At 46.7% G+C, this 26,709-nt stretch overlaps 2 protein-coding genes across 7 annotated transcripts in view, besides 2 other annotated features; one reads left to right on the top strand and one right to left on the bottom strand.

Annotated features, from left to right (window-relative positions):
• Positions 6,104 to 6,818: an enhancer, noted in NCBI's record as "OCT4-NANOG-H3K27ac hESC enhancer chr8:10412556-10413270 (GRCh37/hg19 assembly coordinates)". NCBI's record gives its function as "activates a minimal SCP1, AML or CMV promoter by ChIP-STARR-seq in naive and primed H9 embryonic stem cells {active_cell/tissue: H9 hESC(naive and primed)}" and the evidence as "EXISTENCE:reporter gene assay evidence [ECO:0000049][PMID:30033119]".
• Positions 7,698 to 26,709, bottom strand: part of PRSS55 (serine protease 55) — a 28,635-nt gene continuing 9,623 nt past the window's right edge. For 2 of the 5 annotated variants that reach the window (NM_198464.4, XM_047421492.1), the window contains one exon: positions 23,045 to 23,388. In NM_198464.4, coding sequence (NP_940866.2) covers positions 23,071 to 23,388 — 318 coding nt within the window. In that variant the 3' untranslated portion in view covers positions 23,045 to 23,070. Of the gene's footprint in view, positions 7,922 to 16,662; positions 16,893 to 20,308; positions 20,761 to 23,044; positions 23,389 to 26,709 lie in introns of those variants that run through there. The other 3 variants (XR_948897.4, NM_001197020.2, XM_005272372.5) reach the window with 3 other exon arrangements.
• Positions 11,897 to 12,891: an enhancer, noted in NCBI's record as "H3K27ac-H3K4me1 hESC enhancer chr8:10406483-10407477 (GRCh37/hg19 assembly coordinates)". NCBI's record gives its function as "activates a minimal SCP1, AML or CMV promoter by ChIP-STARR-seq in primed H9 embryonic stem cells {active_cell/tissue: H9 hESC(primed)}" and the evidence as "EXISTENCE:reporter gene assay evidence [ECO:0000049][PMID:30033119]".
• Positions 14,141 to 26,709, top strand: part of PRSS51 (serine protease 51) — a 66,431-nt gene continuing 53,862 nt past the window's right edge. Inside the window, exon 1 of one of the 2 annotated variants that reach the window (XR_007060820.1) lies at positions 14,141 to 14,434. The gene's annotated coding sequence lies outside the window, so the exon portion shown is untranslated. The remainder of the gene's footprint in view (positions 14,435 to 26,709) is intronic. The other variant, XR_007060819.1, reaches the window with a different exon arrangement.

The raw sequence follows: 26,709 nt of genomic DNA, 5'->3' as shown, positions 1-26,709 counted from the left end.
CCTCTTGGGAAAGAAACTGCCTTGACTTCGATTCTTTGCAAGCTCTAGCATGAGGCTCAGGGCACAGGAACACTGGGCTATGGCAAAAGAGCACTGTTCTGCAGAAAAACCCCTCAGCCTCCAAGACACAGTGCCAGCAGTCAGAAAAACAATTGCCCCCAGTCACAGAGCTCAGCCAGACGCCCCAGTCAGCTGCATTTTAGGCCAGTTTGCTACCCCTGAGACCTGTGTAGATGTCAGTGTGGACACTGACATTCTCTTGAGCTCACACCCGAGTGGCCCACACATAAGTACATTAAGAAGACAGAGGAAACGGCCCACTTCAGTAGCTGGGAGATGATTCAGAAAGATTTCCCAGGAACTATCCCTGAAAACAACTGAGTACCTTGTGTTCTGTGTGGATGAAATGAAGACCTCAGCTTCATCAGCTGACGTTCCTGCCACATCTGGGATGCCCCAGTTTGGCTTCCAGAGCAGCAATGCTCAGCCCTGACTACACAAGAGAGTCATAGGAGAGTTAAAACAACAACAACAACAAAACCCATCTCTACAGAGAGAAAGAGAGAGAAATTAGCAGGGCACAGTGATGCAACCATGGTCCCAGCTACTTGGGAAGCTAAGGGGGAGGATTGCTTGAGTCCAGGAATTCGAGGCTGCAGTGAGCTATGATTACACAACTACACTCCAGCCTGAGAGACAGAGCGAGACATTGTCTCAAAACATGCCCCCCAAAACCAAAAAGCAACAACATCAACATAGGCATGTGTTGTAGACAAGAGTTAGGCTGTATCTTATAAAACTGAAATGCAATTATCACAGAAGCTAGCATTTGCGCTCTTGGGCATTTATTCTAGAGAAATGAAAAGTTATGTTCACATGAAAACCTGTACCTGAACGTTCATGGCAGCTTTCTTTGGGACAGCCCCAAACTGGAAACAATCTGGATGTTCCTTCATGGGTGAGGGTGAAACAAACTGTGCTCCGTCCATGCCAGGGAGGTTTGCTCAGCAGCAAAGACGATGAACTCTCGTTGCGCATGACAACTTGGGAGGATCTCAAGGGAATGATGCTGATTGAAAGAAGCCAGTCTCAAAAATGTTCTTGGAGAATGTGTGATTCCATCTAAATAACATTCTTGAAATATCAACATTAGAGACGCAGAACATGAGTGGCTGTTCAGGGTTAGGAATGGGGATGGAGCCTGAGGGGTAATGAGGGATGTCATTGACCTGTGGTCATAAAGCAGTTTTGGCTGTTGTCACTTGTGATGGTCACATGAATCTGCACACATGAGGAAATTGCACAGAATGATACACACCCACACCCACAGGCATGTAAACCAGTGAAATCTGAAGAAGTTAGGCTGGGTGTGATGGTGTATGCCTGTAGTCCCAGCTACTTGGGGGCTGAGACAGGAGGATCACTTGAGCCCAAGAGGTTGAAGCTGCAGTGAGCCATGTTCCCAACAGTGCACTCCAGGCTAGGTGGCCAAATGAGAACTTGTATCAAAAAGAAAAAGAAAAAAGAGAAAAAGAAATATGAAGAGGTTCTGTGGATGGTACCCAGGTCGCCCTCGTGGTTTTGACGCCATCCTGGAGTTCTGCACAGCGTTACCATTGGAGTTGAGGAAAAGACATACAAGCCTGCTGTTCATTGTTTCGCAAATTTCTTTGCATCCATAATTGCTTCCAAATAAAAAGTAAAAACCAAAACCTCAAACAAAGCATTCTAGCCTTCATCCCTTCCTGCTGTTGCGTCCGATTCTTGTCAAGTACACCCATTGAACAAGGCCAAAGCCTCGCATATGAGCCACTGTTAGAGCCTTTTATTACACACAGAGACGGAGAAAAGAGTTAGGCCAAAGGTGCCGTCTCCCCCGGAGCCTCGTCCCACACACTGGAAACCCTGACCAGGACACCACCAAGACAATGGGCTGGATGGCTGGGATAGGAGCTATGGGACACCCCATTGCTAGGGAGCTGGTTCTAGACTGCAGCAGAGTGGTTTTGTATCCTGCACCTTCACTCTAAGCACTGAAAGTGTGGGAGAAGACCTTTACTTCATTAGCCCTGAGGAGAAGGGAGGGGAGGTGGGGGTGGCTCCGGAGCAGCTCGTCATGGGCTCCCATCCTCTTGCGTTCTGGGGAATCACAAACTGTTCTGCCAAGATCCAGATAGGCAGTACTTTGATGGAGCCTGTGTGGATCCACACAAGGTTGTCCGGGCACCACGGCAGAGCAATACCCATAGAACTCTGTTGGAGTGGGCCCTGGCATCAGTATTTGTAAAAGCCTCCCCTCTAATTCTGCTGGGAAGCTGGGCTTGAGATGTCCTGTCTAGCCTGGCAGTAGGAGGAGCCAGAAACCTGCTTTTGGCTTATGCCTGCAGCGTGGCCCCAGGCAAGTCAGCATCCTGCTCCACTTTGGTTCCTCACCTGCAAAAGTGCGGGCCTGGCCAGCCTGAAAGGGAAAGCCACTGGGCGTAGGATTTGGAACTTGCTCCTTGGCCACTCTGGCACCTGCTGCTATGAGCTGCAGCACAGCCTCCCTGTTGATAGAGAAATGGTCAGGACATGCAAAAGCCACAATCATCAACTATAGGCCCCAATGAGGCTTTTTCCTGGCCATAAGCAGGACAGTGAGAAAGGCTGGAGAAAGAGTGCACCTGCTATCATATGCCACAGCTGCATGCTGTGTCTAGAGCTTTCTAGAGCAACTCCTCCCTCAGACTGGGAGAGTCTTTTGCACATTCCCATACATGCGTCTAAGAGGGGAATATGATGGTTTTCACCTACATATAAAAATACATTAGAACAATGTCCTAGATCCTAGCTTATTAGCTTTCTCATTCATTCAGGTAATCCACGTGTCCATTCAATCCCTCATTCATTCAGTCCACGCACACTAAAATATGACTCATCATCACCGAGCTCTGCTTATATCAGGTTTCAACTTCTCACTTGGGATTTCATGTTCAGGCTGGAACTCTGGGGCCTCTAGAAAAGTCCCAGCTCCTTGAGTGACAGAAGCAAATAAAAAGAAAGAAAAGAAAGCCCCAGCTCCTTGCTATTAGATCAGGGCTTGAAATATAATGAAGTAACCAGGATAAAGACAAGGCTAGGGGCTTGGGGAAGAAGCAGGGAGTGGGCTTGGGGTACCTAGGAAGAAAAGGGCTGGTGCATGTGCTGGTAGCCAAATTATTGGTGCTTGGCTGGAGCAATCACACCTGCATGGCTGTGTCAAATGTCTGCATCTGTCTGCATCATTCGTGGCATGTTCACAAATGTTATGTGGACATGGGCGTCCAGGTGATGAAGGTTTAAGGAAGGCCCCTTTCACCAGATGGAACAGTAGCTTATACTGCAGAACTTTCCAGAAACTTTACTGTGCTAACACAGTGAATCTCCAGTATGAAGATGGAGATGCAACCAGGAGTTTCCCAAACATGCATCGATAAGGTTTGGATCTGTGTCCCTGCCCAAATCCCATGTCAAATTGTAATCCCCAGTGTTGAAGGTGAGGTCTGGTGGGAGGTGATTGGATCATAGGGGTGGAAACTTCATGAATGGTTAAGCACCATCACCTTGGTGCTGTCTTGTGATAGAGTTCTCAGGAGATCTCATTATTTAAAAGTATGCGCCACCTCCCCGCTCCTGCTCTTTCTTGGTCCTGCTCCGGGCATATGAGATGTGCCTGCTTCCCCTTTGCCTTCTGCCATGATTCTAAGTTTCCTAAGGCCTCCCCAGAAGCAGAAGCCACTCTGCTTCCTGTACAGCCTGCAGAGCCATGAGCCAATGAAAGCTATTTTCTTTATAAATTACCCAGTCTCAGGTATTTCTTTATAGCAGTGACAGAATGGATGAACACAGCCATGAACACGAAGCATCTCATGGGACCCTTGGAAGTGTTACCTGAGGGCAATGACAAGATCTGTTGGAAGGGATGGCTGACTCTGGGTCCCCGGAGAGGCCAGGCTCATGCCAAGAGCCAGGCAGCCAGGTCAAGGGTGGGGACAGGAGGAAAAGGAGTCAGCTGGGATGGCAAGTGTGTGAGCTGGGAGGTTTTTGTAGGATTTGGGACTAGGAGTGACCTGAAAGTGACAGGAACACATTCTGTCGACTCTAGAGGAAGAGGCAGCTGCTTCTCCCTGGGTTCTGAAGGACTTGGGGCAACCCAACTTAGAGTGAAGGCCGACTCTAGAGAGCAGGAAGAAGAAGCCAGATATCTCATCTGCAGGGAACAAAGATCCTGGCAAGAGAAGGAGCAGCCCTGGGGGGTTGCAGAGGCTTCTGTAACAGAGGCTTCTTCTAGACTCACAGCCCAGGCAGGACGGGGCCTGGTTTTCTAGTCTGAACCAGAACCTTCCCTCCCGTGGTTAAACCATCAGCTTAGCAGTCATAAGAAACCATAACTGGGGGAGCTGTTGGTAGAAGTCTCAGAATCCAAAGGCCCACGAATCAGGATCTCCAATGTTCAAGGGTAAGAGAAGATGGATGTCCCAGCTTGAGAAGAGAGAGAACGAATGTACCCTTCCTCTGTCTTTTTGTTCTATCTGGGTCCTCAGTGGATTTGGTGATGCCCACCTACACGGGAGAAGGAGGATCTTTCTTACTCAGTCTTCATATTCAAATACTCATCTCTTCTGGAAACAGCCTTGCAGATACACCCAGAAATAATGCGTTCCCAGCTATCTAGGCATCACTTAGCCTAGTCAAGCTGATACATGAAATTAACCATCACACCCTCTTTCAGCCTCTGAGATCCAGCATGTCCTCTCTTGCTACAAGGGTGTTGAGCACATTGTCCCCTTTGCCTGGAATGCTCTTTCCTTCATTGTTCTCCTACTTGTCACTTCCTATTTTGGTTTTAAAACTGAGTACTTCCATCTTTCTAAGAACAAGAGAATGAGTTTATTATTTGTTTTCTTCTTTTCTCTTTCCTGCTTTTCCTCTGCTCCCCACTTCCTACTTAACTCTTTAGAAGTGCAGTTATAGCCTTTTACCTCCACTTCACCAGGTACTGTCTACAGGGCAAGTTCAGCTAACTAGGTGCTTAGTAGCTCCAGCGTGGAACTCTCTGTCACCTTGAGAGAGAGCAATCCATCTACAACTCAAAGTATCCCCAACATGAAACTCTCTCCCACCTGGAGATTGCCTCAAGACAGCAGTCTATCCACAACTCAAAGTATGGCCAACATGAAACTCTCCCACCTTGAGATGTTCAATCACTTTTACAACTTAGTTCTGCCCGTGAAGGTGCCAACTGGACCACCTAGTAGATAAAGCACCAAAGTGAGTTACACAGACCCCTACCTGCCTGCTTCCTCCACTGCATGCCATTTATGTCAATTTTCCTTTTTTTTTTCAAGACAGAGTTTCGCTTCTGTTGCCCAGGCTGGAGTGCAATGGTGCGATCTCTTCTCACTGCAACCTCCGCTTCCCAGGTTCAAGCGATTCTCCTGCCTCAGCCTCCCAAGTAGCTGGGATTACGGGCAGGCACCACCATGCCAGGCTATTTTTCTCGTATTTTTAGTAGAGATGGGGTTTTGCCATGTTGGCCAGGCTAGTCTTGAACTCCTGACCTCAGGTCATCCACCTGCCTCAGCCACCCAAAGTGCTGGGATTACAGGCATGAGCCACTGTGCCCAACATGTCAATTTTCCTTTTAAAAGCACCTGCTTTCTGTTCCAAAAGGGAAGCAGCACCCTTAAGGCAGAAAGCCTGTACTTCTTCCCCTAAGCTAGCTCTGTCATAAAAAGTCACTTTCTTTATACTCTTGTTAATGAAACTCTGCCAGCAAAGAACAACCGAGCCTGTGTTTTGGTTACAGTTTCAATGCCATGTTCACAGGAAGACTTCTAGGAGACTGTCCAGAAACCAACTCCTCCTCTCATCTTTGTTTTCTTTCTGCAAAGTCATGTTGACAAAAGGAGACAAACTAAAATATTTGAAGAGATTTATTCTGAGCCAAATATGGGTGACCATGGCAGATGGCACAGCCTAGGAGATCCTGAGAACATGTGCCCAAGGTGGTCGGGCTACAGCTTGGTTTTATACATTTTAGGGAGACAGAAGACATCAATCAATACATATAAGATGTAAATTGGTTGGTCATGGGGCTTCCAGGTCATAGGTGGATTCAAAGATTTTCTAATTGGCAATTGGTTGAAATAATTAAATTGTTATCTAAGGACCTGGAATCAATAGAAGGGAGTGTCTGGATTATGATAAGGGGTTGTGGAGACCAAGGTTTTTATTATGTAGATGAAGCCTCCAGGTAGCAGGCTTCCGAGAGAATAGATTGTAAATGTTTCTTATCAGACTTAAGAAGAGGCCAGACTCTCAGTTAATTCTCTCCTGGATCAGAGAAAGATCTGGAAAGGGAAGAAAATTATAGAATGTTGATCTTCCTCACAAGAGACAGCTTTGTGAGACCATTTCAAAATATGTCAAAGAAATACACTTTAGGGTAAAAAGCTTCAATTTCTTTCAGGGCCTGCTATCTGTCATGTTGGTATCTTATTGCTACAAAGAGTCTGTTTCCTCAGTCTTAATGCCTCTGTTTTCATGTGAATGCTGGCCAGCTGTGCCTGAATTCCAAAGGGAGGAGGGCATAACGAGGCATGCCTGATCCCCTCTTCCCATCATGCCCCGAACTAGTGTTTCAGGTTAACTTTGGAATGCCCTTGGCCAAAAGGAGGGGGTCCATTCAGTTGGTTGGGGGGCTTAGAATTTTTGATTTGCATTCATGATCATTGCAGATGCAAGTTACATATATTTGTGTAGTGATTTCATAGATGCCAGGCTTCCCCATACTGTATATGCTCCACGGAGCAATGCCTGTTCCTTTTTGCTCACTGCTCCATTCCCAGCCCCACGCCCATGGATGGCTTCTCAGGAGGCATCTGTTAAATGGTTGTGAGACAAATGGAGGACGTCAGGACAAACAATAGGGGCAGGTTGGTGGGGCTAAGCATTCAGAGTGAAAGGGATTATAATTAAAACTTGTCTCACCATTGGATCCTTTACAAAATAATTGTTGGGTTATTTTCTTGGTGATGCAGTGATCCATATTGATTTTAGAAAATGCATGCATCTTGGCTGGGGGATCTGGAAGTCTGGAGGGTGGCCACAGGAGCAAAGACCGTGCAGTGCAGGCAGAAGAAGTCCTTGGAGCCCTGTTCCCTAGCTTAGGAGACCACATGCCCCAAACCTGGCTGGCCACCAGGGCTTGCTCTTTTCCTGGGTGGTTCTCAGCAATTTCATGGAGGATGACCCAGAAGGCAGGAAGTCTACTGCCAGTTCCTGTGTGCCCTAGGGCAAGCTATCTAAACCCTTTTATGTCCCATTTTCTTAATCAGTCAATAGGTATAAATAGTAGGGCCTACTTCATTTGGCCATATTGAGGATTAAGTGAGATTTTACATACAGTGCTTAATAGTACACATAAAAAGTGTTAAATAAGTATCATTATGAAATCAGTCATCATTCAAAGGTCCATCAAAGCAAGCAGACTCCTGGCCTCCTCTCTTGCCATGAAATAAAACCAGTAGTCACAATCATGATGAGGCCTAATCCTCCTACCAAGGCAACTTGTTCTCTTTGCTAGTAATTGCCTGGATTTTCATTATTACACAAGAAAAGGGAACCCTTTAGCAATAATTTGAGGCTACTCCCATCACAAAGCATAAGCATCATGAAAATGGGGAGGCTTTTATTCATTTTTTCAGTCATTTGGACAGAAAACACCCTCAAAGATTTTCAACTCAAGGCTATGCCCAAGGGTATGTTTTCTGCCCCAAAAATGGCTCCATGTAGAAGAAAGAGCAAAGCATCAGTTTTGCAGATGAAAGGTGTGAGACCCAGGCGGCTTTGTTTGAGAGCTTCCGGTGTTCATTCTTTGTAAAGTGGGAAAATAGCTTTGCTTTAAAAAAAAAATTAAATTGACAAATTAAAAAAATTTTATGTATTTATTGTACAATGTGGTGCTTTGATTTATGTATACATTGTGAAATGGTTACTCCAATTAAACTAATTAACATATCCATCACCTTACATATTGCTTTTTCATGATGAGAACATTCAAGATCTCTTCTCTTAGCAATTTTCCGGTCTATAATACATTATTACTGTATTAACAATAGTAACCATGCTGTGCAATAGATCTTCAAAATTTATTTCTCCTGTCTAACTGAAATTTTGTGCCCTTTGACCATTTCCCCCTCCGGGTCTCATAACCACCATTCTACTCTGCGATTCTATGAGTTCACATTTTTTAGATTCCATATGTAAGTGAGATAATGCAGTATTTGTGTTTCTGGGCCTGGTTTAATTCACTTAGTCTAATGTCCTCTAGGTTCATCTGTGTCATTGTCAATGACAGAATTTCCTTCTTGTTTAAGGCTGAGTAGTATTTTATTGTGTACATATATATCACATTCTCTTTATCATTCATCTGTTGATGGACACATAGGTTGTTTCTATGTTGTATTAGTCCATTCTCACACTGCCATAAAGACATACCCAAAACTAGGTAATTTATTAAAAAAAGAGGTTTAATTAACTCACAGTTCCACATGACTGGAGAGGCCTCAGGAAACTTACGATCATGGCAGAAGATGAGAGTGAAGCAAAGGCATGTCTTACATGGCAGCAGGTGAGAGAGAGAGCCAGCAAAGGGGGAGGAGCCCCTTATGAAACCATCAGATCTCGTGAGAACTCACTCACTATCATGAGAATAGCATATGGAAAACTGCCCTCATGATCCGATCACTTCCCACCAGGTCCCACCCTCTACAGTTGAGAATTATGGGGATTACACTTCAAAATGAGATTTGGGTGGGGACACAGAACTAAACCACATCTCATGTCTTGGCTATTATGAATAATACAAGCATGAGAGTGCAAATATATTTTCAACATACTGATTTCATTTCCTTTGAATAGATACCCCGAAGTGGGATTGCAGGATGATATGGTAGTTCTATTTTTAGTTTTTGAGAAGCCTCCATAGTGTTCCCCATTTTGGTTGTATTAATTTACATTCCTACCAATGGAGTACAAACATTCCCCTTTCTCCACACCCTCACCAACACTCACTATCTTTTGTCTTTTTGACAACAGCCATTCTAACAGGTGTGAGGTCATGTGTCTTTGTGGTATTAATTTGCATTTCCTTGATGATTAGTGATGTTGAGAAGTTTTTCATTTAGCCACTTATGTGTCTTCTTTTGAGAAATGTCTATTCGGGTCCTTTGCCCATTTTTAAATTGGGTTATTTGTTTTCTTACTACTGAGTTGTTTGGGTTTTTTGTATATTTTGGGGATTAACCCCTTAAAAGATGCATGGTTTGCAAATGTTTTCTCCCATTCCAAAGGTTGTCTCTTTACTCTGCTAATTGTCTCCTTGGCTGTGTAGAAGCTTCTTAGTTTAGTGCAACCCCATTTGTCTGATTTTTTGCTTTTGCTGTCTGTGCTTTTGGGGTCATATCTAAGCTTTGCTTTTTCAACCCGGTGCTCGGTAGATTAAAGTAGGAAGATGTTTCCTGGAGGCCTCCAGCCATCCGTAGCTTTGCCATGATTAACACTCCCATGATTTCACTCTCTCAAAGAATGGGATTCTTTAAAAGTTCCAATCTTGAGGGCATCAGTAAGTTAGAAACGGGCTCTCTGCTTTCAGTCAAATGGATCCCAGCGTTTGTTCTAAGAGAAAGATGAGGAGGTTCCTCATAACCAGTAGCTTCCAGTATTCTTTATTCTAAGCATGAAGACATTTCCCTTTGCACAGAGCACATGAAGGCTTACTGAGGCAAGGCAGGAAACGGTGCCCTTTCCCCAGTAACTTCCGGCACGTTCTGCCGTGCATCTCCACACCCGGCTGCTCTGTAGAGCTATTAGCCAAACGGGCAATGTTTCTGTCGTTTAACTGCCTCTTTGGGCAGGAACATTTGAAAGCAGGGATTTTGCAAAGGTTCTGCTTTTGGAAGAATTTGTTGGTTCCTATTAAATGGGCAGATGGAAAGCACAGGGAATCTGGAGGTGCTTTGCAGTGAGGACAGCACGGGGCTTGACACAGGAGAGGGAGGAGTGCGATTTTTTGTGCCCCCACTAAAAGGATGGGGTGGGAGCTTCTCCCCATCACCAAGTGCTCTCAGAGCCCGTGCAGATGGAGAGACATGGTTCCAATGTTCTCAGCTGTTCCCTTCAGCCGCTGTCATTGGCACATCGGTCAGCGTTGCCAGGGTTAGGAGGTGAAGCCCCTCTGTGGGGTGCCCCTACCTCGCACAAGATGACCTTGCAGGACATGCAGTCACAGGGAAGCTGGTCCTCGATCTGCTGGGATTTGTGTCCTCAGTTCATGCCTCCACCTGTGCTGCACGTCACAGCCTGCAATGCTGCCGGTTACCCTGCCGTCCCCACCAGAGGTCGAGCTCCCTAAGACAGCCACCGGGCACTGCCTGTCTTTGTGTTTCCCAGCACAAAGAAAAGAACTGAACACTTATTCTGATTCAATAACAGGAAGAATAAGTGAATGAATGAATGAGTGAGTGAGGGCATTTTAAAGCCAAGGGTGTTTCTGCCTCACAAGCTCATTGTCTTAGAAGAAAAGAAGGCAAATAAGGAGATCAGTAAGAAGTCCTGTGTGCCCGATTGCTTCCTGTGCCTTTCAACCTTCAGCCATGAAGCACGACCTTTATTGCTTGTTGAGCACAGACAGCTTTTAAAGGATATCCTTCCACTGCCCTCTCAGAAGGAAGGGGTCTTGGAAAGTGCTCAAAGCTCATCACTTGCAGGACCTTCTGAGTATGCTATGAATAAGAAGATAGTAAGAGAAGGTGGCGGCAACAGGGGATTTCAAAATGTACTGGAAGCCTGGGTCCATGTCAGCTGTTGGGGCAGAAGAATGTTTTAGTGGGAGTAATTGATTTATTCAGTGTCATCTGAATGTGAAAGAAGACAGGATAGCTGAGCAAGCAATCCTCCCTCCAGCTTTCCATGCACTCCTACAGATGTGTTTGTGCTCACGCACACACACGTGCACACACACGCATGCACACACACACCTGCCATGTCTTTTGCATGTACATCAGGTGATTAACACAGGTATCGAATGGAAAGCGACATCTTCAGGAGAAGCTGATACAGTAAAAACCAAGGTAACACATCGCAGGGTAACACAGTTATCATCAAGCATTGTCTCGGGGCAGGCAGGCAGGAGAGAGGAAGGCTGGTTGGGAAACTTCAGGCAATCGGTCTCAGAAGTGGGGAGGCAGAGATTGGGTCCCTGTGCTCCAATTTTCTCCAGTCAACTCAACAAAACGGCATCAGCTGGGAGTGTGCTGGAGTTTGTATCTGTCTTGGAAGTCCCATCAAGGGTCCCAGAAATTCTTGTTGTTTAAGGCACAGCAGCCAACTGCCACCAGATGATGCTACACCAGAGCCAGGACTAGTACAGGCTTATGAGGCCAGGGACGTGAGGCCAGGCTGCTGACTCCATAGGCTCGGCCCCTTCCTTCATTGACTTGGCCATAACCAGCCTTGCATTTCAGGAGCTGGGAGTTCTAGACCCCCACTTCTGTGTTATGGGGCTCCCTAGGTAATTCTCTGTGGATAGTGATGACTTGGATAGCTAAAATGCCCTGTGGGCCGGGCGCAATGGCTCACAGCTGTAATCCCAGCACTTTGGGAAGCCGAGGTGGGTGGATCACCTGAAATCAGGAGTTCAAGACCAATCAGCCTGGCCAACATGGAGAAACCCCGTCTCCACTAAAAATACAAAAATTAGCAGGGCATGGTGGCGCGCACCTGTAGTTCAGCTACTTGGGAGGCTGAGGCAGGAGAATCGATGGAACCTGGGAGGCGGAGGCTGCAGTGAGCTGAGATCACAGCACGGCACTCCAGCCTGAGCAATAGACTGAGACTGTCTCAAAAATTAAAAATAAAAGATAAAAATGACTTATGGGTTATCAGTGCTTCTCTATGCATCATTTCACTACAGAAAGACTGAGAGCCAGGCCGGGAACAGGGCCTTACCACCACCTTGCAGATAAGAAAATTGCAGTTTAGAGAAATGACAGAGCGGGGAGCTGCTGGCTGTGCCTGTGCTGTTTCATGGTCCCAAGCACTCCGTCTTTCTCCAAAGTCAGGGGGAGAGACACAGCTGAAAAGGGGCACTGAGCGTTGGAACCGACGTCAGGAAGCCCCTGCCTGGTACCCTAACATGGCCACTGAACAGCAGGTGGGCTGAGCTCCTGGGGCCTTGTTTCGCATCTTAGAACCAGGGTCTTTTCTTGATGATCTGTGGGGTCTCATCACTGTCACATTTAGCAGGGCTTGGTGAGCCCCTGTGTGACCCCCAGTGTGCTGGACACAGGCTGTACGTGGGCTTAGCCCCGTACCCAGCCCACATCCCAACATGCCGATGCCATCATCCACCCTCTGAAATGCCATCAACTTGGGCCATCCCTACAGGCCACCCCTCCTAGGCTCTTACAACCATCTCCCACCGGGGCACTGGCTCTGCAGCTGTCCCCTCACTCCCACTTCCCACACCAGAGTTTCTGGGATTGGATTACATCACTCTTGCTCAAGCCTCTTCAGTGGCTCTCCGCGGCCATGGCCGCTGCAGGGACCTTTCAGAGGCCTAAAGGACAGGACCCAGCTCCATCCTTCATCTGCCCCCGCCTCCATCCTAGCACTTATTATGATGAGGTGACTATCCGTTTACATCCATCTCCCCCTCTAGACCAGGGTAAGCGAATGTTTTCTGTCAAGGGTCAGGTAGTAAATGCTCCAGGCTCCAGGGGCCACCTAGCCTTGGTTGCATCTATTGAGCTTATGCCTGTATATACAGCAGCACCCACAGACGAGATGCCAGGGAAGAGGCGTGGCTGCGTTCCGATAAGACACACAGTGGGCTTGATCCAACCCCAGCCTCAGTCGGACCCCTGCTTTTGACTTTGATCTCTGGGGCTGGCCATTCCTAGTCTGTCTCCCCCACCACCAGGTCCCCAGCACAGTGCCTGACACACGGGAGATGCTTTAATAAAAGGCTTTTGAGTGGATGTGTGACCAGGAGGGCTGCCTGGAGGGGGGCACGGGAGCCCTGTGGCTGCCCTGCGGATCCAAGTCTGAGGCTTTGGAGCCGTGGGTGCCTCATGCTGCCGGGTCCCACCTTGTGCCTGGGCTTCTGTCCCAACAGCTCCTCGTCTGCTTCCGCAGGAGACTTGCAGGCAGGGGGAATGGCCGGGGCTAAGGTGTTGGCCCAGATTCCTGGCTCACCGTGTCAGGAAGGAAAGGGTCCAAAGTGACCCCAGCCTCAGAGTGAGGGAAACCGTCTCCCAGCTCCCAGGACCCAGTGCAGCCCCGCGGTGCCACAGCCCATCGGATGCAATGCCTGGGCCCAGGGCCCCACCCGTGAGGGCCCAGCAGGGTGGCAGCCACCGGGAGGGTGGGGACAAGCCTCTCCTGGAAGGCTCCAGCCAGCTCTCAGGGAACCTCTGCTTCCCTCCCCCTCCAGGGCTGTGTCTGTCACCTGCCTGGCTGCCCCAGGTCTCCAGTCCTGACCAAGCACAGGGAGACACTGAAGCCCTCGTGCCTGGTCTGGAGTCACTCTGCCACCTTGAGGCGACATCTGGGAACTGCACCCCACTCCAGCCAGGCCCACCTGAGCGCTCGCTGCCTGAGCCCCCTCTCCAAAGCCCGCCCCAGCTCCCTAAGGAAGCCTGTTCATTCTGCAAAGCTCTGGGAATCTCTGTTCTGGAAAGGCCCAGAGATCCCCGAGACACTCTTTCACACGGAGCAGTCCTGTCCTGAGCCTCCTGTCCTCCAGGTCTCTGCTCTCATCCGGGCCTTCCCTGTGACCTGGGGTAGGAAGGAGTCCCTCCTCCGCCCACACTCCTTCTTCCCTGTTCTCCTCTGTGCCTCTCCACCAGTCATGTTCAGTAAAGCTGTGTGTTTACGGTGTCTGTTCCCCTAGAGTGTCGGCTTCTGAGGGCGTGACATGTTGTTCCCTGCTCTTCCCCGTGACTGGAACAGCAACGGCACATAAAAGACTCTCGGCAAATGTTTGATGAGTGAATGAGCAACACCAGATCCGGAACAAGCCACCAAGACTGGGGCGGGGCGGGGCGGGGGGTGGGGGAAGGGGAGAGGGAGGAAGGAAGGGAAGGAAAGAAAAGGAGGAAAAAGGAGTGGGAAGGGAAGGGAAAAGGAGGGACGGGAAGGGGAAGGTGCCAGCTTGGGATTTCGAGCCTGGGTAGTGCCTGCTAACGGGGTTGGCCGGAGCAGCAGAGCACCGGGAGGCCCAGGGATGTGGCGAGGCAGCCGCGGTGTCAGAAAGAGGAAGGCAGGAGGCTGAGGCCGAGGGCCCTGGAATCTCGCACATTCCAGGGTTCAGAAAGATCACGGTGGGGTCCACCTCTGGAGTCCACAAAAGGTAAGTGCGGGGTGGGGATAAGTCTAGAAGCAGCTCTGCAAAACAGTGCAGGCTTCCAGTCCACCGGAAGCTCAAAGAGGAGAGAAAAGACATGGGCTCTCGGGGAGGGAGGGGGCGTTGTTGGAGGCCCGGTCTTTGGGTGAGGGGTGATGCCCCTGTGTCAGAGGCCACCGGCTGGCGCACGCCTGGACCACTACGCTCACCCCTCGGCGGCTCACTCTGGAAAGAGTGTTGCAAGAGAGGTTGTCGAGTGACAAGGGTGGCGGGAATTGCGGAGCTATAAATAGGAGCGGTGACTGCAGTAGCTGAGATGTGTGGTTTGGGGATGTCATGGCTCCGTGAAGCCAGAGCGTGGTCTTCCAGCCTGCCCACTGCCATCTGCTGGGCTACAGCGAGGCTGATGTGGCTCAGCATAGGATTCTGTACTCTTGGTCAAAGCTGAGGGCTGGGTCGGACACCGTGGCTCACACCTGTAATCCCAGCACTTTGAGAGGCTTGAGGTGGGAGGATCATTTGAGCCCAGGAGTACAAGGCCAGCCTGGGAAACATAGGGGGAACTTGTATCTACAAAAAATAATTAGCTAGGTGTGATTGCACACTCCTGTGTGCAATCAGCTACTCAGGAGGTGGAGGTGGGAGGATCACTTGAGCCTGGAAGGGTGAGGCTTCAGTGGGCCTTGATTGGGCCACTGAACTTCTGCCTGAGCAACAGAGTGAGACCCTGTGTTTTTTGTTTGTTTGTTTGTTTTGTTTGTCAAGAGGAGGCAGCAGAGGGCTGCCTGTAGGTGGTGAGTTCTCCATGTGCGACCAGGAGGGCTTCCTGGAGGGGGCAACAGGAGCACCGTGGCTGCCCTGCAGAGCCAAGTCTAAGGCTTTGGAGCTGCCTGAGGCTGGGTTGACAGGGTGTGTGGTCAGTTTTCGGATGCTGGATGCCTTGTTACTGCAGAGGCATTCAAAAGTGCAACTAGCTGCTGGGATTGATGTGAAGAGCATCAAGGGGACTTGATCCTGTTGCAGGGAGGGATTTAGGGGTGAGATAGGGAACTGGCTAGCGCTGAGGGTTATAGGGGTCTGTGGCAACCCTGGGGTCATGCGGCTAAGCTTTGTCTGGGGCTGTTTAGTTCCCTGAGTGTTCAGTGTATGGCAGGCTTTGCTCATGGTTTTTTCTGCATCGTTACAGCCTCAATAGCCTTACTCTGTCCATGCAATGATTCTCATTTTACAGGCAAGGGACCTGGGACATAGAGGCTCACGTTCTTGGGGCTAAGTTTTGAGCCATGGCCAGCTTCATTCTGGAAGCTGGCTCAGCTCAGGGGAGCCTAGTTCCCCTGGGCATAAGTGACACCGAGCCCTGCCTTTGCTCCTTGGACCTCAGATGGGGGCTGTCTTCCTCTCCCCATCTGTGCCCAGCAGCTGCTCACGCAGCATCTGAGCCTCAGGGTAATCTGAGGACAGCGCTCTGGCAAGAAGCTCTGCAGGGAGGGGCCCAGCATTCACACACGCAAGCAAAGAGCAATAAGCCAGGACTAAAGATAGAAGATGCCTCTTACTGGGCCGGTTCTGATGTAAAAATGCAGAACTCAGAATTAAACATGCACTTTGCATTGCAGAGCAACAGTGCCCAATTAAGCTATTCTGGGCTAGGACGCTGAGATGCTTTGTGAGTTTTTACTGCTCAAGACAATGAATAACACATGTCTCTACAGTCTCAATTCAAACGATGATTTACGAGCCACACCGAAAGCTTCATTCCAATCCAATGCATATTCTAATGTGATCCTCTTATACCTTAGAAAGCCTGGGCTTGGTAGCCAGGTGGCCTCTATTTCTTGGTGATTAAAGTCTGGGTCTCGTAGGGAAATGCTTCTGAAGTGTGGAACAGGGACTACTGCTGGTCTGAAAACTGCTTGTTACTGGCCCAAGAAGAGATAAGCATAGAAATGGAGAGTAAATGCTTAGAAACCTTTACAGCAACTTAAAGTTAAGTGGGTTATGTGGTTGACTGTAATAATAAAGTTTGCAGCCTGGGCAACATGGTGAGACCCCATCTCTCCATAAAATAAAATTAGCCAGGCATGATGGTGCACACTTGTGGTCCCAGATACTTAAAAGGCTGAGACAGTAGGATCACTTGAGCCTGGGAGGTTGAGGCTGCAGTGAGTCCTGATTGCACTATTCCCCTCCAGCCTGGGTGATAGAGTGAGACACTCTCGGAAAAAAAAAAAAAATAGTGTGGGCTTGCATTTTATTTGTTCATTTTCGATTTCATTTTTCGAGTAGTTCAATTTTATGTTTTATGAAAGTATTGGTTTGAAATAAGTTGGAAATTTCGAAGCAAAACCAAAAACCAAAAGCCCTGGTCTTTTTCCTCACAGATGGTCTGAGAAGCACAGGTGCAGGCCACCATGTCCTGTTTGTTGAGGCTGGGTCAACAGAGCACACAGTCAGTTTTCTGTCCCTGTTAAAGTTAATATAAAAATTCTATAAATACATACTTTATCTCCTTTCTTCTCTTAAAATCTATGAGACATAAAGTTAAATAATGTAACAATTATAGTGAGGTATTTTTGGATTTATAACATATGTAGATGTAAATATAGGAAAATAATAGCAAAAAAAAGAGGAGGAGGAAATAGGACTACGTAGGAAGAAAGTTTTGATCTCTTACTAGAAATAAGTTAGTCTAAACCAGAAGTTAATTCTAATAAGTTGAGATGTGTATTATAAGTTCTAGTGCAACTACTAAGAAAACAACTCAAAAATATAATTAGCATCATTAAAAAATTAAAATGCTACACTAGAAAATATTGACTTGACACAAAAGGCTATAAAGGAAGGTCAGAGGGACAAAAAGGAAAAGCATCATACAGGAAAACCAACCAAAATGGCATATGTAAATCAAACTATATCAATGATCACATTAAATGTGAGTGGACTAAAAATGCAATTAAAAGACAGAGATTGTCAGACTGGATAAACAAACAAGTTCTATGTGTTGTCTACAGGAAACACATTTAAATTCACATATATAAGTAGGTTAAAAATAAAAAGAAACAGATAAACTATGCAAATGATAATGATGAAAGAGCTGATATGGTGCTAATGATATCAACAAAATAGACTGTAAAACAAAAAATTCATTAGAGATAAAGGGAGACATTTTATAATGACTAAAGGGTCAATGATTCAGAAAGCTATAACAACTGTAAACATACGTGCATCTAACAATAGAACATTCAAATATTGGAAGCAAAAAATGACAATTGAAGGAAGAAAGAGACAATTTAATAACAGAAGTTGGAGACTTAAATCTCATGTTAAATAATGGATAGAACAACTATACAGAAGATTAACAAGGATAAAGAGGATTTTGGCAATACTATAAACCAGCTAGACCTAATAAACATCTATAGAACACGCTACCCAATAATAGCAGAATATACTTTTTAAAATACAGTACATAAAATATTCTTTAGGATAGATCATATTCTAAGCCATAAAGCAATTCTCAAATTTTTAAAAGGATTGAAATAATACAAAGTATGTTCTCCAACCTCAGTGGAATTAAATTAGAAATAAATAACAGAAGAATAATTGCAAATATATGAAAATTAAACAGCACACTCTTAAATAATCAATGAGTAAAAAGAGCTTACATGGGAAATTAGAAAATACTTTAAGGTCAATGAGAGTGAAAACATAACACACAAAAACATATGTGATGCACTAAAGCAGCACTGAGATGGAAATGTCTAGCTGTAAATGCTTATATGATGTAGAAACTAAAAGATGTTCATCTCATAAAAGTAAAAATTAGAACAGAGAATACTAGAAACCAGGAAGGATAAGGGAAAGGGGAAGATAGGGACAGATTTGTTAAAGGAAACAAAATGGTGCCGCTGCACTGAGCCTGGGCGACAGAGTGAAGACCTTGGAAAAAAAAAAAAAAGAGAGAAAGAAAGAAAGGAAGGAAGGAAGGAAGGATGGAAGGAAGGAAGGAAGGAAGAAAGAAAGAAGAAAGAAAGAAAGAAAAAGAAATCTGTTGTTCAGGCATGCCTGGCTCTAGGGGCTATAAAAATGTCACCAGGATGTGATGTCTTCATGCTTTGACTTCACTCTCAGGGCAGTCACTTCCGCATGGGGCCCCCAGAAGCTCCGGGCTTACATTCTCCAAGGGTCAGTCCTAGCAGACAGAGAGCTGCTAATCTCAAAGAGCCTGTGCATGTCCCAGGTGAAGTTCTGGGACTTGCCAAGATTGCCAAGCTTGGTTCTTAGGGCCATCCTGAAAGACATCCTGAGGCCCTGGGTTGAGGGCCTCACATTGGTCAGGCCTGGTCCCATGCAACCTCTGGAGTCAGAGGTAGGGTCTACCTGTCCATAAGAAATGGATCTTGAGAAAGGTGACATCAGAAACTTGCAATAAGGAAGAGGGTTCCCCCAAATAAACTGGAGCCACTGGGTGCAGAGCAGACAAAACAGCCACAGACACCTGAGCCTTGATTCTTGATTTCATATCCCTCCAAGAGGTTGTCTTTTTTTTTTTTTTTTTTTTTTTTGAGACAAAGTTTTGCTTTTGTCACCCAGGCTGGAGTGCAATGGCATGATCTCGACTCACTGCAACCTCCGCCTCCCGGGTTCAAGCGATTCTCCTGCCTTAGCCTCTCAAGTAGCTGGGATTACAGGCACCCGCCACCACACCCAGCTAATTTTTTTTTTGTATTTTTAGTTGAGATGGGGTTTCACCATCTTGGCCAGGCTGGTCTTGAACTCCTGAACTCAGGTGATCCACCTGCCTCAGCCTCCCAAAGTGCTGGGATTAGACATGAGCCACCGTGCCTGTCCAGGTCATCTTTAAGGAGACGTTTGGGCTACTCTCAAATTACCCACCACAAAACTATTGTAAAAACTCACCCTTTATTCTTAAATACAAAACATTAACATCAGCAGTTATCCTTGAGGCCAAAGGTTTTCAAACTTTCCCTTATTGTCTTAGCTTTTTTTTTTTTTTTTCCCCCGCATGGTGCTTCTAGGCCAAATGAAATACCTAACAATTGCATTTATTACGTTGTTAAGTTTAAACACCTTAGCAGCAGTGGTCAACTCCATGTCCAACAGACATTGTTGTTTCCCTTGATGTCCAACAGATGTCTCTGTGTGTCTGTTTTGTCCCCACACATCCGCACTGGGGCACCACAGTGCAGTTTACACACTACACTGTGTGACTCTAGGTATGAAAACTCTCTTGGGACACACATGATAATCCTGTAGCCTAACTAATCACAATTGACTGGATAATGTTTAAACTGACAATTTCCATATCATGACAAAACGTTGCTTTCACGGGTGAAACAGGGCCAGGTGCGGTGACTTAATGCCTGTCATCACAGCACTTTGGGAGGCCATGGCAGGAGGACTGCTTGAGCCCAGGAGTTTGAGACCAGCCTGGGCAACATAGTGAAACTCCCATCTCTACAAAAAATTTTAAAAAATGAGCCAGGTGTGGTGATGTGCGCCTGTAGTCCCAGCTATTAGAGAGGCTGGGACTCAGCTATTAGAGAGGCTGAGTTGGGAGGATTGCCTGAGATGTAGGTGGCAGTGAGCTGTGATCATGGCACTGCACTCCAGCCTGGGCGACAGAGTGAGGCCATGTCTCAAAAAAAGAAAAGTGAAACAGCAACATTGCTTCCACCTCATTTTCTAAGAAGCCCCTTCACAGTACAGAAGCTCTTCCCCCATATTAGTCAGGTTTTCCAGAAAAAACAGGAGAGATAGATTAGATAGATAGATAGAGCTGATACAGAGATGAGATATAGATGATATAAATATAGATATAGGTACAGATATGAAGCTGTTTATTATAAGGAATTGGCTCACCTGATTACAGAGACTGGCAAGCTCAAACCTGGGGTGTGGACTGGCAGGCTCGAGATGCAGGAGAGCTGGTGGTGCTGCTCTGGTTTAGAGACTGGCAGGCAGAGCCCCAGAAGAGCTGACAATGCAGATGAAGTCTGAAGGTGGGCGGCTGAGGAATTCCCTCTTGTGTGGGGAGGCCAATCATTTTTGTCCTACTCAGGCCTTCAACGGATTGGATGAGGCTCACCCCATTATGGAGGGCAATCTGCTTCGTCACAGTTTACCAATTTAAACATCAATCTCATCCACAGATCCCCTCCAAGTTGACAGACAAAAGGAACCACCACACTCCCCAGCAGCCTTCACATGAGCAGTACCTTCAACATGCACCCTACCATGTTGGGAGTCCCAGGAGAGTCAGTCAGTCTTGTTCCTGATAACTCCAGCAGAAGTCTTGGTCTTGCTCTTGTGACCTATAAAGCCCACAGCCCATTGCTGCTCCCATCCCTGTGGCCAAAATCAATGTCCTTCTAGGCCAGGCTCGAGTTCTATGCCCACCCCAGCCCCCAGCAAAGGGCCAGCCATCCAGAACTATGCAAATTGGAGAGTGGGTGAAAAGGGAGGGCCCCCACACAGAAGTCAGAGGGCGGTGAGCAGGAAAGTGGAGTGGACAGTGGTGATGTCCTGAGATGGTGAACACTCCAGCTGGCCACCCTCCACTGGGCCTGCCTGAGTCCCAGGTTCTTAGGAGCTTCTGAAAAAATGGCTTCTAGACATTGTAGCTGTAGGACCTCTGGAGGAGTAGGGTTAGAGTGGGAAAAAGGATAACTAGGAAGCTTTTTTTCTTTTTTCTTTTTTTTTGGAGATAGAGTTCACTCTTGATGCCCAGGCCGGAGTGCAGTGGCGTGATCTCCGCTCATTGCAACCTCCACCTCCTGGGTTCAAGCCGTTATCCTGCCTCAGGATCCCGATTGGCTGGGATTACAGGTGCCCGCCACCACACCCGGCTAACTTTTGTATTTTTTAAAGTAGAGACGGGGTTTCACCGTGGTGGCCAGACTGGTCTTGAACTCCTGGCCTTAGGTGATCCACCCATCTCAGCCTCCCAAAGTGCTGGGATTACAGGCATGAGCCACCTCGCCCAACCAGGAAGCTTTTCTTCAGTCTCTTTCTGGAGAACACTCAGCCAGGCTGTAGGTCCCCAGGAAAAGCCCAAGCTTCCATTTAAGGATTTGCATTTCCTGAATTTGCCTTTGCATCTTCGGTGGTGGCCCAGGAAATTCGAATCCAGAGGAAAGAAGCACGCGGCAGCGCTGGGTCTACATGAGGGGAAGACAGGAACACGTTCTCGAGGGACTTCTTGTGAATTGTGGTCCGCCCCACACCAGCCCGTGCAGTTGCATGCTGCAGGGTGGGGGAGTCCTGCCTGGTGCGAGCGGCGGGGGCATCCCACACGCTGGTGGAACACAGCAAGCAACTCGGAGGGGCTGAGCCATGGAGGGAGGTCAGCTGAAAGCAGAGGCGAGAGCCTCTGAACATGAAGGAGAGAGCAAGAGAGGAGCGCCATCAGCTTGGCTCCAGGATGAGCCAGAAGGGAGAACTGGTGACAGCTTGAGAGGCGAGGGAAAGGGGAGCTCAGGCCTGCCTGCCTCAAAAGAGAGAAGGCCCAAGGTAGGGAATGGAAAAAAGGTGATTTTGAAAAGTGGGTGTGTTAGTCCGTTTCCACACAGCTGATAAAGACGTACCTGAGACTGGGTAATTTATAAAGAAAAAGAGGTTTATGGACTCACAGTTCCATGTAGCTGGAGAGGCCTCACAATCATGGTGGAAGGCAAAAGGCACATCTTACATGGCAGCAGGCAAGAGAGAACAAGGGCCAAGCGAAAAGGGAAACCTCTTATAAAACCATCAGATCTCGTGAGACTTACTCACTACCATGAGAACAGTATGGGGAAACCTCTGCATGACTCAATTATCTCCCAGTGGGTCCCTCCCACAACACGTGGGAATTATGGGAGCTATAATTCAAGATGAGATTTGAGTGGGGACATAGCCAAACCATATCAGTGGGGTCCTCAGGAAACATGCTCCATAGAAGGGTTACAGTAAGCTGTTGTCTTTAAGGTAGGGTGAGCATAAGCACATCGTTCGTTTTTATGGACAGGAGTAATGTAAAACACCATGTGAAGGCTGCCTGGGCAGCGTGGTGGTTCATCTCATATGTCAACTTGGAGGGTATCTTTGGATGAGATTGACATTTAAATTGATAACTTTTGAATCAACAGATTGCCCATCATAATGTGGGTGGGCCTTGTCCAATCCACTGAAGGCCTGCGTAGAACTAAGAGACTAACTTCCTAGAACAACAGGGAATTCTTTGTTCTCATCACCGCTGAGAAGCCCTCTTGAGGGTAATGGCCACAGACAACAGTCACTGCCTTCACCTTTCAGCCCCTGGACTCAGCCACGCCTGAAGTCATCATGCCAGCCCTGGATATTTGTTTGTTGGCTTTTTTTTTTTTTCTGTTATATGTATCCATAAATGCCTCATTTTGGCTGAATTCAGTCAGAATTAGGTGACTGTCACCTAGAATGGAAAAAGTCCTGACTAATCCACAGACCCAAAGTGCAGTCCCCAAACCAGGGACCCAGGGTGACTCTCTGGTCCTCCTGGTCCCAGCCTCAATTTCCATCCTTGAGCCCTGAGCTGCAGACAGAGCCTCTGCTGGAGACGCACTTGCATGCACCCTCCCTCGGTTGAAAGAATAGCCTCTATTTTATTATCAGTACAAAATAGCTCTGAACAACACATGGGACAGGGGACAGAGCAGGAGCCAGGATCTGGGGCTGCCTGGCTCTGGGACTCCCGAGACTGGGGAGCCCATAGGTTTCTGTTTGACAGAAGTCCTCCTTTTCTCTGCATTGAAGGGCCTGCCCTCTAGCTGGGTCACTTTCTCGATCCAGAGGTTGTAGTTCACCAACGAGGTGTATATCCCTGGGGTGTTCTTCTCTCCACAGCTCTTTCCCCAGCTTATGATGCCCACCTGGTACCACTTCTCACCAGGCTCTGGGGTGCAGACCAGAGGCCCCCCACTGTCACCCTGTGGGCAGAGAACACAGCTCAGCAGGGAGTCCGGTTCTAAGCTGCCCATCTGAGGCTGGGCACAGCTCATTCATGGAAGATTCCTCAGCCTCCCCAACTCTGGCTGCCAACCCACCCCATCCCTGCTCCACGGGAGAAGCATGTGGCTGCCAGGTTGGCTCTGGAGGTTGTAGGGGTGTAGAGCGTTGGGGGTGGGGTGCTGTGGATGAGACAGGACTGAAGATGGGGAAGGAAGGGGGAAGCCTTGGTAAGAAAAGACCACTCCATCTGCAGCACAGAGAGATGCAGGCCAAGGGATGAGTGGAGACTTGTTTTGAGGGTCTTATCAAATGAGAGGCTCTTATCAAATGAGAGGCTCTGGAAAGGGCAGGAAAGGGAATGGGACATGTGAAGTGTTGCAGGGCTAAGAACTGGGTCTCCTTTGTGTTCTTGCAGAAGCACAGAGAGAAGGACATTCCTTTTTAATTCAGCCACGCTTTTCAGAATGTGTGACCCTTCCAGGATGGAATCACATGGTCTGTGACTCGCATAGTTATCCATTTATGTTGAGCTTCTGAACCAAGTCCCTGCCATGCCCCACGTCTACATAAATCAAACAAATGCCCCACATCCTTCCGTCCACCTTCACACAAGGCAAATGAGCCTGCAGGAGGAGAAAGGGCTTGCTGAGGGTTCTATGGTAGACTGGCTGGGATTGGAACCCAGGATTTTCTTTTTATTAATTTTAAATTAATTATTATGGGTACATAATAGTTTTGTATGTTTATGAGGTACACGTTTTGATATAGGCATACAATGTGCAGTAATTAAATCAGGGTAATTGGGGTATCCATCCCCTCAAGCGTTTATCATTTCTTTGTATTAAGAACGTTTCAATTCCACTCTTCCAGTTAATTTTGAAATATACACTTGTTGTCTATAATCACTTTATTGTGCTACCAAATACCAGACTTTATTCATTCTAACTAACTGTGTTTTCGTGCTCCTTAACTGGAGTCCCCACCTGCTTTCCTCCCCAGCCTCTGGTAACCATCATTCTTTATCTCCATGAGTTTTTTTTTAAGCTTCCATTTATAAGTGAGAATATGAATTGTCTTTCTGTACCTGGCTTATTTTACTTAATGTAATGTCCTCCAGTTCTATACATGCTGTTGTAAAGGACAGGATTTCATTTTTTATGGCTGAATAATATTCCGTCGTGTATACTGCCTAATTTTCTTTATCAATTCATCCATTCGTGGAAACTTAGGTTGGTTCCAAATCTTGGCTATTGTGAATAGTGCTCCTATAAAAATGCAAGTGCAGATGTCTCTTCGATATACTGATTTCCTTTCTTTTGGACGTATACCCAGAAGTGGGGTTGCTGGATCATATGGTAGTTCTATTTTTAATTTTTTTAGTACCCTCCATCCTGTAACCCAAGATTTTCTTATTTTCTTTTTCAACTTTTATTTTACGTTCATAGGGTACATGAGCAGATTTGTTATGTGAGTAAATTGCATGCCACTGGGGTTTGGTGTACAAATGATTTAATCACCCAGGTAGTAAGCAGAGTATCTGATGGGTAGTAAAAAACTACCTTACTTACCCTCTTCATACCCTCTACCTTTAAGTAGGTCCTGGTGTCTATTGTTCCCCTCTTTGTGTCCATGTGTATTCAACATTTAGTTCCAACTTATAAGTGAGAACATGCGATATTTGGTTTTCTGTTCCTGCACTAATTCACTTAGAATAATGGCCTCTAGCTGCATCCAAGTTGCTGCAAAGGATATGATTTTGTTTTTTTTTATGGCTTCGTAGTATTCCACAGTGTACGTGTATCACAATTTCTTTATCCAGTTCACCATCGAAGGACATGTAGTTTGATCCCATGTCTTTGCTACTGTGAATAGCGCTGTGACGAACATATGCATGCATGTGTCTTCTTGGTAGAATAATTTATATTCCTTTCGGTCTGTACCAGTATTGAGATTGCTGGGTTTAATGGTAGTTGTGTTTTAAGTTCTCTGAGAAATCTACGAACTGCTTTTTACAGTGGCTGAACTAATAATTTACATTCCCACCAGAAGTGTAGAAGCATTCTCTTTTCTCTGCAACCTCACCAACATTTGTTATTTTCTGACTTTAATAACAGCCATTCTGACTGGTATGGGATGATATCTCATTGTGGCTTTGATTTGCATTTCTCTAATAATTAGTGATATTGAGCTTTATTTTTTTTTCATATGCTTGTTGGCTGCATGTATGTCTTCTTTTGAGAAGTGTCTGTTCATGTCCTCTGCCTTTTGAGACAGAGTCTCGCTCTGTCACCCAGGCTTGAGTGCAGTGGCAGCAGTCTGGGCTCACTGCAAGCTCCGCCTCCTGGGTTCACGCCGTTCTCCTGCCTCAGCCCCCCGAGTAGCTGGGACTACAGGTACCCACCACCACGCCCGGCTAATTTTTTGTATTTTCAGTAGAGACGGGGTTTCACCGTGTTAGCCAGGATGGTCTTGATCTCCTGACCTCGTGATCCGCCGGTCTTGGCGTCCCACAGTGCTGGGATTAGAGGCGTGAACCACCGCTCCCGGCCCCTCTGCCCATTTTTTAATGAGGTTGTTTAGTTTTTGCTTGTTGAGTTGTTTAAGTTCCTTATAAATTGTGAATATTAGACCTTTGTCAGATGCATAGTTTGCAAATATTTTCTCCCATTGTGTAGGTTGTCTGTTTACTCTGTTAATAGTTTCCTTAGCTGTGCAGATGCTCTTTAGTTTAATTGGGCCAACGTTTTATTTTGTTGCAATTGCTTTTGGAGACTTCCTCATGAAATCTTTGCTAAGGCCTATGTCAAGAATGGTGGTTTGTAGTGTGACTTTCTTTTAGTGTTTTCACAGTTTTGGGTTTTATATTTAAGTCTTTTATCCAACTCGCATTGATTTCAGTTGATGGTGAAAGGAAAGGGTCCAGTTTCAATCTTCTGCATATGGCTAGCCAGTTATCCCAACACCATTTATCGAAAAGGAAGTCCTTTCCCCATTGCTTGTTATTGTTGACTTTGATGAAGATCAGATGGTTGTAGGTGTACAGCTTTATTTCTGGGTTCTCTAACCTATTTCATTGGTCTATGTGTCAGTTTTTGTATCAGCACCATGCTGTTTTGGTTACCATAGCCCTGTAGTATAGTTTGAAGTTGGATAGCATGATGCCTCCAGCTTTGTTCTTTTTGCTTAGGATTGCCTTGGCTACTTGGGCTCTTTTCTGGTTTCATATGAATTTTAAAATAATTTTTTTCTAATTCTGTGAATAATGTCATTGGTAGTTTGATAGGGATAGTATTGAATCT

The sequence above is a fragment of the Homo sapiens genome, chromosome 8 (genome assembly GCF_000001405.40).
Source record: "Homo sapiens chromosome 8, GRCh38.p14 Primary Assembly".
Lineage (NCBI taxonomy): Eukaryota > Metazoa > Chordata > Mammalia > Primates > Hominidae > Homo > Homo sapiens.
This window is presented reverse-complemented; position numbering and strand designations above follow the sequence as displayed.